Source organism: Homo sapiens, chromosome 2 (assembly GCF_000001405.40).
Source record: "Homo sapiens chromosome 2, GRCh38.p14 Primary Assembly".
Lineage (NCBI taxonomy): Eukaryota > Metazoa > Chordata > Mammalia > Primates > Hominidae > Homo > Homo sapiens.
In genome coordinates this window covers 228174840-228186535 of record NC_000002.12, presented here as the reverse complement: position 1 = coordinate 228186535, position 11696 = coordinate 228174840, and the positions used below count along the sequence as shown (strand labels likewise).

General features: G+C 39.6%; 1 protein-coding gene across 6 annotated transcripts in view; it reads left to right on the top strand.

The window, feature by feature from the left end:
* Positions 1 to 4848: 4848 nt before the first annotated feature.
* SPHKAP (SPHK1 interactor, AKAP domain containing) overlaps positions 4849 to 11696 on the top strand; it is a 201733-nt gene continuing 194885 nt past the window's right edge. For all 6 annotated transcript variants that reach the window (NM_030623.4, NM_001142644.2, XM_006712778.5 and 3 more), the window contains exon 1: positions 4849 to 4969. In NM_030623.4, coding sequence (NP_085126.2) covers positions 4938 to 4969 — 32 coding nt within the window. In that variant the 5' untranslated portion in view covers positions 4849 to 4937. The remainder of the gene's footprint in view (positions 4970 to 11696) is intronic.

The window sequence follows — 11696 nt, the reverse complement described above, 5'->3', positions numbered from 1 at the left end:
CACTCAGTTGCCCAGGCTGGAGTGCAGTGGCTCGATCTCCGCTCACTGCAAGCTCTGCCTCCTGTGTTCACGCCATTCGCCTGCCTCAGCCTCCGGAGTAGCTGGGACTACAGGCGCCCGCCACCACACCCAGCTAATTTTTTTGTATTTTTTTTTTTTTTTTTTTTTTTAGTAGAGATGGGATTTCACCGTGTTAGCCCGGATGGTTGCAATCTCCTGACCTCGTGATCCGCCCTCCTCGGCCTCCCAAAGTGCTGGGATTACAGGCGTGAGCCACCGTGCCTGGCAGTTTTTTTTTTTTTACAGTTGAGTTTTGAGAGGCTTTTAAAATATATTCTAGATGCTAGTCTTTTGTCAAGTATTTAATTTCCAGAAGTTTCCTCTTAGTATGTAGCGTAATAATGTCCCAGAAATTTTGATATGTTGTATCTTCATCTTCATTGAATTAGATGTATTTTTTAAATTTTCTTTGAGGTCCCCTCTTTGACCTATGGATTATTTAAATGGGTGTTGTTTAGTTTCCAAGTATTTGAATATATTCCTCTTATCTTTCTGTTCTTGATTTCCTTTTTGTTCCCATTGTAGTTGGAGGACACACTACATATATGATTTCAATTATTTTTAATTTATTGACATTTCCTTTTTGCCCCCAAATATGGTTTATCTTGGTGTATGTTCAATGGACACTTAAAAAAAGTGTTTTCTATTTTTAGGTGGCATATTCTATAAATGTCAATTTGATCCTTTTGGGTGATGGTGTTGCTGAGTCTTTCAGTAGTCTCAATAATTTTCTGACTAGTTGTTTTATCAACTGTTGAGAAAAAGTGGTTAAAGTCTTCAGATGTAATTTTGGATTTGTCTCTTTTTTTAGTTCTATTATTCTGTTGTTTTATATGTTTTGCAGCTCTGCTGTTTCTGTGTATACATTTAAAGTTGCTGTGTCTACTTGGTAGATTGACCCTCTTATTATTAAATAATCTCCCTCTCTGTCTCTGGTAATTTTCCTTGCTCTGGGGTCTATTGTATGTTATATAAATATAGCCACATGTGCTTTCTTTTAAATAATGTTTGCATAATATATCTTTTATCACACTTTTACTTTCAATCTTCCTATGGGGCTTTTGTTTGTTTGTTACAGAGAGCACATAATTGGGTCATATTTTTAATCCACACTGCCAATCTCTGTCTTTAAACCATTCTATTTAGACCCTTTACATTTAATGTACTCATTGGTACATTAAGCTCAAAATTGACAGGGTTTTATTTTGTTGTTTCTGTTTGTTTTCTCCTTTTTTGGTTTTATTTTGTTTCTGTTTGTTTTCTCCCTTTTTTGTTTTTGTTTCCTTTTTCCTCCTTTACTATGGGTTAAACATTTTTTAAAATCTTAAAATGATAAAAATCATTTAAATGATTAAAATAAAAAATTTTTTAAATCAATAAAACCAATTTGATTGATTTAACCTGTATTATTTTTGAGTATATCTATGTGCATAGCTTTATAATTTCTATGCATGTTATATATATGTGTATGTATGTATGTGTATATATGTATGTATATGTATATATAAATTTATAGTTTATTGGTGTTGTCAATTTGCCAGTTTGAGCAAAATGTGTAAACTTTACTTGTTACACCCTTTACCCTTCTCCCTTTAATATAATTGTCTTAAATGCTTTCTCTATATTTAGAAGCATATCAAAGTCATAATCTTTCCTTTGATTTTCAAATGTAGTTTAGGAAACTCAAAAGAAGAAATTCTGTTGTATCTTTCAAATTTTTCTTACTGTTTTCTTCTTTCCTGATATTCTAAGATGCCTGAAACTGTAAAGACAGTTTCATTGGTGTCTAGAGAATTTCCTTTAATCATTCTTTTAGGAGAGCTCTGCTGGAATTCTATACCATTTTCATCTTCATTTCTAATGAGTATTTTTATTAGACATAAGATTCTGTGTTCATAGTTGTCTTCCTCCACACCTGAAAAATGTTGTCAATTACTTCAGTCCTCCATGGCTTCTAGTGGGAAATCCACTGTTTTTGAACTATATTTCCCTTATGGGTAAAGTGATGTTTCTCTCCAACTAATAAAACAGTTTGTGTTTTATTTTGGTTACTGTATTTTTCACTTCTAAAATCTCCACTTAGTTTTTCTTTACATCTTCTACTTATATTTGCTTAGATATTTTAGGGGCTGACTTTCTATTTTTTTTATATTACTTATTAAATTATTTTTATCATGGCTGCTTTAAAATCTTTTGACAGATACATTTAACATCCCTGTCATTTCCATGTTATTTAGTATCAATTGATTGTTTTGTTTTGTGTTGATTCTCATTCAGATCTGATTCTTAATATGACAAATAATTTTCTATTAAAGGCTGCTTATTTGGGGCATTATGTTAGAACATTCTGAATTTTATTTAAAGAGCTGTTTTAGACGGATTCTCTTGACACTTCTCCTGTAAGGCAAGGAAAATAAGGGCAGCACTGCCTCATCACTACCAAGTGGGGTTAGAAGTCTGGGCTCCTCACTTGGCTTTTGTTGACACTTGAAAAACAGGTAGTGGCATTCATTACTGTGAAGCAAGGGTGGGTGGGAGTTCAGGGTCCTCACTAGGCCTGCACTGATATCTCTCTGGCTAAGAGTGGTAGGAGTACCCAGTTCCTGCTTCCCATGTGGCCTTCTGTGATTGGGAGTGGGGGGCAGGGGACACACACAGGGCCTTATTACTTCTGAACTATGGTTTTTGACTCTCCACAACAATTCCTCTGACACTGCTTCAGTGTAGAGTGGAAGTGGGGCGGGGCGGGGGGGGGGGGGTGCCGATTACTGCTCTGTGGATGTGAAAGTACAAGCTCCACTGATACCAAGGTGAAGAAGCGGTGCTGCTACTCCTTGTTAGGATTAAAAGTCCTGGATCCCATGGAACCAGCCCAAATGCCCATCAATCAACGAGTGGATAAAGAAATTCTGCTATACATATATATGATGGAATACTACTCAGTCATAAAAAGGAATGAATTAATGGCATTTTTAGCAATTTGGATGGAACACGAGACTATTATTCTTTGTGAAGTAACTCAGGAATGGAAAACCAAACATATGTTCTCGCTCGTAAGTGGGAGCTAAGCTGTGAGGATGCAAAGGCATAAGAATGCTACAATAGACTTTGGGGACTCAGGGGAAAGTGTGGGAAGGGGGTAAGTGATAAAAGACTGCAAATTGGGTTCAGGGTATACTGCTCAGGTAATGGGTGCACCAAAACCTCACAAATCACCACTAAAGAACTTAAGTAACCAAATACCACCTGCTCCCCAAAAATCTATGGAAATAAAAAATATTTTTTAAAAAGTCCTGGCTCCCTACTTTGCCTTAATGCCACCTGTATGTGTGGAATGGGAAGGGGACTTCATTATTTCTGTGTGGATGTGGAAGTTCAAGCTCTTCTTGGCACCATGACGGGGGAAACGAGACATGAAGAGGTGAGTGCGGCCAGTGTTTGGAGGGGATGAAAGTCCTGGTCCCTACTTAGTCTCCTCTGACACCACCTCGCCCAGGGGACTGACTTACATCCTTAGAGCCTACAGATGGTGAAATGTAGGCTCCCTACTTGGCCTTTGATGGTGTAGTTGAAAAAGGTCCACAGGTTTTTTCTCATGGTGTTTGGCCACAGTGGAGCTATTATTGTGTGTAAATTTTCCATCTTGCTAAGCTGCCTCTCTCCTGATCCTTTGGCTAGAAAGAGGAGTCCTTTGTCAAGGCTTTTCCTGTCTCTGCCCCTTGACATTTCCGGGTTGTCATCTTCTTCAGCCAAAGTCTGGGAGAACCTCAGGAACCCATCATCATGCCAAGCCTTGAGTCCCAGGATCTCTAGCTGGTCTGCATTCTTCTGTCCACCTTTTTCTCATGCCTGTTTCAGAGATAATATCCGGGGGATTTCGTTGTACTTACTAGGAGGAATAGCTAAAAGTACATTGGCTCAACCTTCCCATTTGTGGAAGTCCCAAATTTTATTTTTAATTTGTTTTTTAATTGGAAAAAGAAGCAGATTCAACAGCGCCCTCATTTTAGCAGATATTTGCTACTATCAGTGTCTTTCTTCTTAAGAAAACTGTCCTTTTTGCTCAGGGAGATACCCAGCCGTCAACTGGGGAAGTTTGTGACAGCTCTCCCTCCCAGGTTCTGAGTGCTGTCCTCGGATGGATGGCCGCTCTCATAGGTTTTGAGATTTCTATGTGCGCACACGGTTCTAACAGAAGAGAGAGAAGACTAAGTCACAGTTAAGCAAAATGAGTTAAAGAAACGTGAAAACCAAAACCAAGAGAGAAAGTCCAAATAAAGGGAAAAGACTTAGGAGGTCAAAGCCAGCATCGTTCTGAGTGATCGACCATAACATGGTAGACCACAAACAAAAATGAAATCGACACAGGAAGCCAGAGGAGTGGCGCGCAACCAGTGGGGAGTGTCGGCATTGCCAGGAGTGAGGGCGTGAATGTGGGAAAGTGCGTGAACAACTTCAGGGCTCAGACCTACTGTACGCCAGCGAGAAAGGGAGGGGAGACGATGGTGGTTGGGGAGAGAGGAATTTTGTCGGAGTCACCTATGCTTCTGGGCACGAATGAGCGATAGAGCAGGATCCTCGAGCAACTGAGACTGGGGCCCGCCTGCAGGAGGCAGGAGCCAGGCAGAAAGGTGGGAGCGTTGGCCACGCGCTCCTGCAAGATCAGAGAGGACGGCGGGAGGGGACAGCGGGCGGTCGCAGCGCACAGAGCTTGCTGGCCAGGGAGGAGCTAGTCTCCGTGGGCGCCGCCGCCGCCCCAGCCTGCGCGCCTCTCTCCTGGCGCGCGCCAGTCTGGCACTCTGGGAGCTGGGTCCTAGCACCACAGACTTATCCTTCGCCTGCACTTTCCGTCTTTCTTCTCTGGGCGCCCACCAACAATGGATGGCAACTCCCTGCTCTCGGTACCAAGGTAAGACCCGCTTCTTTCTATGCCCAATACCATGTCGATCAAACTCCGTTCCGCGTTGTGAGTCGCTCACCAACTTGCCCCAGAGCGCTTCGGTTTGCACGGGGCTCCCAGCGAGGAGACAGGGGTCACTGCACTTGTAAATAAGTCCGGCCCAGCCTCGCTGGAGCTACAGGGGACCCTGTCAACTGCCCCACAGGGCGCGATGCTGAGTGGGGCCTGTGCGCTGGAGTGGCACGGGTTGGGGGTCAGCCCCGTGCCCGCCTCTAAGGCCCAGGGACGGAGGTCTGCTCTGCCCTAGGTGGAGCCAGGAGCCGGACTTTCCGCGGACACAGCTTGGAGAGGTTTCACACCTTGTGGAGAGACAGATTCCAAGGTCTAAAACAGGAGGGAACCGGGCTAGGGCAAAGTACCCCCGCTTTCCTTCCACCTTGACCTGGGCGGGTGTCTGGGGCTGCTGGGGTGGGGAAGATTGTCCCTCACCCCCGACCGACACCTAGACTGCCCCCAAAGCGAGATCTTAAGACAGGGCAGAAAACACCTAGGTCCCCTGCAGTCCCACAGTCCTCCACCGTCCCCACACCCCCTGCCAGTCTGCGAGTTCCTTCTTTAACACCTTTGGTTTTGCTCGTCCCCCACACCGGGGTAGGTCACGGACGCCACCCCAGGCGCTGCCGGGTGCGAGTAACGTGTTTTTCGGGGTGTGTTTCTTTCTCCTGTCTCTTTTTTGCCCCTGTTCCACACTCCTTCTAACTCAGTCCTTTGCGAAATTAAGAACCTGAGATTTTTATGTCTTTCCCATAAATGTCTGGGTAAATCGGGGCGGTGGTGCTGGGCCTGCTCCCCCAGCCGGGCAGGTGGCCTTTGCGCTCTTTGCGCTCGCTGGGCGCGGAGCGCTCGCGCCGGGAGCCAAGGATGCTGTTGCTCCCAGGGAGAGGGTGTCCTGGCTGCGGCGCAGCCCCACCTCTCCTGGGCAGCGGCTTAGCGTGGCTCTTCGTGCCATCCCTACTCCCTCTTTTCCCCAAGCAGGTAGGTAGGTAGCTTCCAGAGCAGAGCACCAGGCCCTAGAATAAACACTTTAAGTTCGGATTCTTGGAGAGCAGCAAAACCCAATATCCACTGGCCAGGGCACACATGGAGTGATACTACATTGCCAAGGAGCCGAGATGCGGTGGGAGGGGAGGTGGGGGTGGCGGAGGAGGAGAGAGACTGCTTTCCAAAGGCATTGAAGGCTGCCATCTAGAGACCTGAATTATTTGTATTCCGCGATGAAATAACGCTTTCTCAGCTCCACAGGCACTTCCTCCTTAAGCGTCCCTTCGCTGCGGGGATAGCAAATGGTTCAGAAAAGGCCCGCTGTGGTTTCTGTGCACTCCTTGAAGCAGCTCTTAAGTGAAGTCTCAATCCCCACCCTCCCGATCCCTGCCCCAGCGGAACAGGGTCAAAGGACCACCGCTGTCTTTCCATTTTGCCGATTTTTTAACTTAAAAAAAATTGCCAGTGATGTTTACGCAAAGGCATTAAGGTGTTTGGAAAGTCATGTAAATTGGAAGCTCACTTTCTCCACCTATCTATTCTACTGTCTAGGGCAAATGGTCATTAGAATTGAAACGGTGAATTGGGTGGTCCTAATAATCTTCCGACAGAGATTTTTGATAACAGATTGATTGCTTTAATCCGGTTTTACAGACCAATATAGCTGCGCCTGAATCCTGATTATATTTCTATTCAAATACCGGAACATTTTCTAAATTACTAGAAACACATTGTGCCAGTAATTTATTACAATTATTTCTGTCTCAGTACTATAAAATGACCTTATAAAGAGCAAAGCAACTCTGATGATATTGCTCTGTATCTTGTAGTGGCCTATCAAAATGTTAATATAGGCTTAATATCAGCTGCAGCAAACTAAGCTTTTTGAACCTGACTTTTTATTCACCAATTTCCACAAATCAGTGTAGTAATTTCCGGTATTTTATTAGCCTTCTTAATCCACAAATCAGTGTAGTAATTTCGGGTATTTTATTAGCATTCTTAATCATGTAAATTAACTCCTGTACATGAGTTGATTCAATCCTCTATTTCATTGTATACAAGAAACACCATTCCTTTTCTATAAGACTTAATTGAAAGCCATAGGGATTGGGATGCAAAAAGAAAATTAAAATTTTTAATGGTGTAGACAAATCATGTATTAGTCATGCTACTTGTTCACAAAACATTGCATTTTAAAGAATTGATTATTGAATATTCCACATAAGCTTTTCGAAGAAACCAACAATGATCAGCAAATATCAAATTGCTATTGTCAAGGCTTGTGATGTCCAAGTCTGAAAACATTTTTGGTATCTAATAAAATTAAGTTGGTGGTTATAAATCACTGTTTCTCTTAAGAATTAGAAAACAATTTAAGACATTCTACTTAATCATTAGAGAAAACAAAATGATTTAATAACATTGAGTTAATTATAGAATATATTTTATGTTGGCTTTTCCATTTTCTTAGAATTTTCAATTAAACACAAATATAAATTACTGAAATTTCAATCAAGCAATATTCTGTGATGATTGATATTAAAACTAAATTTGACTCATATACTTCAGAAACTGTAAAACATGTTTTTTTTTTTTAAGGAAATGTTTTGGGTTCTTTGAGTTATTAAACTGTATTCCCTTCCTTCTGTGAAAACTCTAATTCATTTTTACTATGAATATTTTCATTTTTAAAGGTGCAGTAAATTATGTGGATTGCGTCACAGATTTCTTAAAATCACTGGTTATCAAAGCTGGAAGATATCGTCCATAAGGAAACCAAGCTGTGCAGAGATTAAATGTTTCCATGTTAGTTGCGTTATAGACCTGGAATCCAAGTGTTTTCTGACTAGTAGTCCATCAAGAAAAAAAAAATTTAAGAGGGATTTTTTTTTAATCTAAAATCGCTGATAGAGGTTCTTTAGTCATCTATTTTATGGAAAATTGATTTGATTTGCTAAGTCGCAAAATTAGATATTAGAAAAACAAAAAAAGAATCAAAGGACATCCATCCAGTGTGTTCTATAGTACACTGTATTACAATGCAGTAGTTTCCACTTACAGAAAAAAAGTCAGTCTCACTTTTATATTGGTAACTAGCGTGTGTTTCGTAAGGTGTTATCAAGTGTTATCTAATATATTAAATTATTTGATCATCACATCCTTGTGAGTCAATCATGACAGATATTATCATCTCCATTTCCTAGCTGAAAACTCTGAAGCCAAAGGAAATTAAATAAAGGAAATAATTGTATTTAAAAATCCATATAAATTCTATGTAGCAGAGCTAGGTCATCCACAAAATTTTTCTGCCTTCAAGTCCAGTTTTCTCTTGTGTACTGATTGAAAATCCATACTTTATTTTAAATGGAAGGAAAAAGAATTTCTGGTACACAATTTGGACAAACACTGATACCATCAGAACACATGGGGGCAGCCTAAAAGCAAGGAGACCATCTTTTAAAGCCAACAAGTGCTAAAAATAATCTTTTTTAGCAAATAGAAATAGTTTGTCACCTTGGCCATATCTAAGCTTGAATTTGAATGTTAAGAGAGTTCCCTGTTTTCTAAACATTTGCATTGTTATACTGTACTGTTTTGTTCTTTTTGCTTGGTTTACTGGATTCTATTTTAATAATAAAATTTTTATATGGCATTTCGAATGATAAGATCAAAACTCATCAAATGTAAACTTTTGAAAAAACTAGATTGATTTTCTCCATGTGTAATAATGTATATAGGCTTCCTGTCATTTTGTTTTAACCAATCTAAAGTTTAATGCAGACACATTTCACTAAAACTCATCAGAATCTCAAGATTTTACCCCTCAGTATGTTAGTTCCAGGAAAAATAAAATTGATTTTTTAAAATGGAACAAACAACCCAATACTGTATACTGGACTATGATCTTCCATCACCAAGTTTTTATAGAAAGGTTAACTGATTTTAGATTTGCACAAAAGGAGATATTTAAGAGTATATTTAAATTTCTTTGTCCTATTTATGAAAAACTTTCAGAAAAGATTAATCCATTACTCTTAAGTTGAGGAACAGGGACAAGTACGAAATACTGCCTTAAGAGTACACTTAACTTCATTCTCTGTCTTGGAATACATACTGTCCTCAAGGCCAGCACTGAGCTGTGGGCACATTCCCCAAGTCTCACTCTCTTCTCAGGGTAACACTGCCCAAGAGGTACAATTTCCTATAGAGAAAGGAACTAGGAATTAGAAAGTCCTGGTGCCTCAAACTCTGAGAGTCCACGTTGTTGCTGGGTTGTGGATAGTTGGTTAAGAGACTGGAATTCTGAAGGCAATTCCCAACAGAAAAAAAAAAAAAGGCTTAAAAGACCAACATTAAAACTACACTTCAGATACTGGCAAGTTTTATGGGCCCTTGCTCCATGATCTTGTAAATGGGTCCTTACTCCATGATCTTGTAAATGGGTCCTTACAATCATCTCATAAATGAATGATTAGGATATATTTTGTTTTACAAGTGGTCTCCTTTGGCTAGTGCTACTCATTTGAACTGAGTTTTTTCTTGGTGTTACAGAGTTACAGCTACAAATAATTGTAAGGAGGGGAAGAGGAAACAGTGATGTATTGTATTTGGTTTTTTGTTTTGTTGTTTTGTATTTTGTTTTTGTTTTTGTTTTTGAGACGGAGTTTCGCTCTTGTTGCCCAGGCTGGAGTGCAATGGCGCGATCTCTGCTCACTGCAACCTCCACCTCCCTCCGGGATTTGAGCGATTCTCCCGCCTCAGCCTCCCAAGTAGCTGGGATTACAGGCATGCGCCACCACGCCCGGCTAATTTTGTATTTTTAGTAGAGACGGGATTTCACCATGTTGGTCAGGCTAGTCTAAAACTGATCTCAGGTGACCCACCTGCCCTGGCCTCCCGAAGTGTTGGGATTACAGGCGTGAGCCACGTGCCCAGCCCTGTATTTGATATTTGGAGACCTGGTGCTTAGTCCTGTTCTGAAATTAATGGCTGAGACTGTCTGGGCAAGTTACCTGACCTGTTGCTTCTCTGCCTCCTCCTGGATGTGCTGACGTCCAGGATATACTTATCTTCTATGGATATACTTGGATATACTTATCTTCTATGTCACTCCTACTTTAGTCTTCTATAATGCCACAACCTGTATTGTAGCAGGGACTCTCCCTTGGGTATGATACAGATAAATGTCTTACTCTCTTGAAAGAGGTGGGTGAAATCAAGGCCTTTAAAAGAACTGAAGCAATACCCACCCATCCAAAAGAAAGCTTGTCTTCGAGAATTGGGCTTTATTGTTTTTAATGTTCCCCCAGAGGTGGAAAGCAGCATTATACTTACAGAAACTCTTTTGTAAAGAAGATAGCACGGTAATTAAGATCCCGGTTCTGTCACATATTAGTGATTGGTTATCCACTCTGGGGCAAAATGCTTACCTACTCTGTGCTTTATTTTCATCATCTGGGAAATGCGAAAACTACTTCAAACATTTGAAAAGGATGTGAGGCTTGAGACAGTATTATGAAGTACAAGAAATACTGAGTCTTTAGCCATTGCTTCCCATCATGCTGAATGAACTCCTCTAAATATGATGGTTTCATGATAGATTTTTTAAGTTAATACTGGTGAATAGCTCACATAACTCAGAGATAAAGTTGACTTTATCTGATATTAGCATAGATATCCTGTCTTCCTTTTGGCTTATTTTTTTTCTATCTTTTTAAAAAAATCTATCTATCTCTTCAAATCTAAGTTGTTTCTTATAGATAGGGTATTGTATCTTACCTTTTTATCTCATCTAAAAATCTCTTTTTTTAATTGATGTGTTAAGACCATTCGCATTTGTTAAGATTGTAGATAGGGATAAATTAACTAGCTATTTTCTATTTGTGTCATATGTTTTTTATTCCTTTTTAAAACTTCTGCTCTGCTTTGCATTAAATGAGAACTTGTTTGTGATTCTGTTTTACTTTCTTTATTGATTCATTATTTATCTTTTGTTTAAAAGTGTGTGGTTGCTCCAGGATTTAGATGTTTTTTATTAAGCAGAATCTACCTTCAAATTTTAACATACCACTTCACATCCAGTGTGAGGTTTTTACAAGTATACATTCCAAATTATCTCCTCTGATCTTTTGTGCTAATATCATCACATATTTTATTTTTACAAATGTCATAAACACACTATATATTTTGCTTTAAATCATCAGATATTTTTAGAATAATTAGAAATATGAAAAAAAACCTTCATTTATTCCATTTCTGACATTTCATTTGCATAGATCCAAGTTTCTGCCTAGTATTAACTTCTCTTCTATCCAAAGAGCTTCTTGGATCTGTGACTTCATGCTTATTAATTCCGAAAAAAAATTCAGCCATAATTTCTTAAAATAGTTTTCCTATCCTGTTCTGCTTTTCTCTTTTCCTTCTAGAATTTTAATTGCATATATATTAGAATACAGCTCTTGGATATTCTTTTATAATTTTGTTTTTGTTTCCTTTATTTTTCCTTTTTTTTTTTTTTCAGATGGATAATTTGTATTGACCTATCTTTAAGCTCATTGATTCTTTCCTTGGCTAAGTTCATTCTACTGATATATTTATCAGAGGCATTCTTCATCTGGTTACCATGTTTTACATTTTTAGCATTTCCATTTAGCATTTAGTTTTACCTTACAGTTCTTATCTCTCTGCTGTA